Genomic DNA, 2521 nt, shown 5'->3' on the forward strand with positions numbered 1-2521 from the left:
AACCACACTGAGAAGAGAGAAAAGGTTTATGTCCTTGTCAGCACTGAGAATTTAGACATATTTCTAAAGATAACAAATGGATAGAAATGGATTAATGGACAAACTAAAGCAGAGAGAAACAGGAAATAGTGTCCTTGGGAAACGGCTAAAGATGAGAAATGTTTCTCTCTGAACAAAGAAGTTCAAATTTGAAGAACTGAGATTGAGAGAGTGGAAACGTGAGGGACAGAAATAGAACTTTAGGTTAATTTTAGAACCATTTATAGAACAAATATGTGTCACCATATCCCTTTCTTTTCCTACTCTTGTGTATGAAGAGTGACTGATACAGCTCATTTCACCCCCAGAATGAAATCGAGGGAGCTCTCTACAAACAAATAAGATAATCTTCCTGTGGGAAATTAAAGCTGCCAGAATGATGATAGAAAATTGTCCCTGGAACAAATTCCCTCATATTGCAATGACTGAAAACAGTGATTTATTTGTTATTATTTCTCTTGAGTCTGTACGTCAGGAATTAGAGCAGGGCTCAGCCGTGTGGTTCTCCTACACATGACACCAGCTGAGATGGCTCACTCAGCTGCATTCAGCTGGCAGTTGGTCTGAGCTGTAAGGCTTTAGTGTTCCTCCATGTGGTCTCTCTCTCTCTCTTTTCCTCTCTCTCTTTAGTGTCTGCCATCATTCAGTAGTTTATTCCAAAATCTTTCACATCTGGCTTCTCAGGGAGATCATTTCTCATGCACAAACCCTGATTTCAAGGCCTGAACAAGTCTTGCTCACTTCAAGTTTACTGGCATCCCATGAGTCAAAGCAATAGACTTTTACAACAACTTAGAAGAAGATACACTTTGCTTACTTTTGGAAACAGGTAGCCTGCCTGTTTCTTCCTCCAATCCCCAATAGTGAACTAGTATGCATAGAACTTGTAACCAGTTCTTGCATTCCAGTGAAAGGGTCATGTGGGGATACTAAATCTGTCCCCATCATATGCTCTTGTTGCATGAAATAGTTAAAGAAAACAAAGAACAGAGAGAAAAACAAAGATAGACTGTTGGTACAACCTACCAGCAGCGACTTTTGAAATCAAAGGTTTTTAAAAACTACATTCTAATTAGTAGACCGAAATTATCAAGGAAAGTATTATATCAATAAAACAAGATCAGATTGCCATTAAAATGGAAGAATCACAGAAGAAATAGCTATTGAAAATTAAAAATATGTCCCATCAATACCTAATTTATTGAGAGAAGGATATGAACAGACACTTCTCGAAAGAAGACATTTATGCAGCCAACAGACACATGAAAAAATGCTCATCATCACTGGCCATCAGAGAAATGCAAATCAAAACCACATTGAGATACCATCTCACACCAGTTAGAATGGCGATCATTAAAAAGTCAGGAAACAGCAGGTGCTGGAGAGGATGTGGAGAAATAAGAACACTTTTACACTGTTGGTGGGACTGGAAACTAGTTCAACCATTGTGGAAGACAGTGTGGTGATTCCTCAGGGATCTAGAACTAGAAATACCATTTGACCCAGCCATCCCATTACTGGGTATACACTCAAAGGATTATAAATCATGCTGCTATAAAGACACATGTATACGTATGTTTATTGTGGCACTATTCACAATAGCAAAGTCTTGGAACAAACCCAAATGTCCAACAATGATAGACTGGATTAAGAAAATGTGGTACATATACACCATGGAATACTATGCAGCCATAAAAAGGATGAGTTCATGTCCTTTGTAGGGACATGGATGAAGCTGGAAACCATCATTCTCAGCAAACTATCGCAAGGACAAAAAACCAAACACCACATGTTCTCACTCATAGGTGGGAATTGAACAATGAGAACACCTGGACACAGGAAGGGGAACATCACATACCGGGCCTGTTGTGGGGTAGGAGGAGCGGGGAGGGATAGCATTAGGGGATATACCTAATGTTAAATGACGAGTTAATGGGTGCAGCACACCAACATGGCACATGTATACATATGTAACAAACCTGCATGTTGTGCACATGTACTGTAGAACTTAAAGTATAATAAAAATATATAAAAAAAGAAAATTAAAAATATAATCACTTAAACAACAAACTTAAATAACAAAAGATAACCAGTAGCAGAAAACACTAAGAAAATTATTGAACATAGAGAACAAGGAGTGAAAAATATGTGAGGAAAATTAATGGAAATTAAGATTCAATATAGGATCTCCAAAAAAAAATCCCAGAAAACAGAAGAGAGAAAATAATCAAATAATAATATAAGAAAATTTCCCAAAGGCTAAGAAAGACAGGAGGCCTTAGATTACAGAAGACACACAAAGCAGTGAACAAAAATGAAAGTGATTCATGCCTAAATATATCCTCATGAAATTTCAGAAATTCAAATTAAGTGATCTTATATTAGATACACCAATAGTAAGACTGCTTGAGCTAGACAAAAATGCAGCAATGTCTTTGAACTCCTTAGGGGATAAATATTGTTAGCTAAGATTTCTATATGC

The 2521-nt window shown here is 37.1% G+C and overlaps 1 annotated feature.

Annotated features, from left to right (window-relative positions):
* Positions 306-365: an enhancer, noted in NCBI's record as "active region_19659". NCBI's record gives its function as "activates an Ori minimal core promoter by ATAC-STARR-seq in GM12878 lymphoblastoid cells {active_cell/tissue: GM12878}" and the evidence as "EXISTENCE:reporter gene assay evidence [ECO:0000049][PMID:35858748]".

This window comes from Homo sapiens, chromosome 3 (assembly GCF_000001405.40).
Source record: "Homo sapiens chromosome 3, GRCh38.p14 Primary Assembly".
In the NCBI taxonomy this organism is placed as follows: domain Eukaryota; kingdom Metazoa; phylum Chordata; class Mammalia; order Primates; family Hominidae; genus Homo; species Homo sapiens.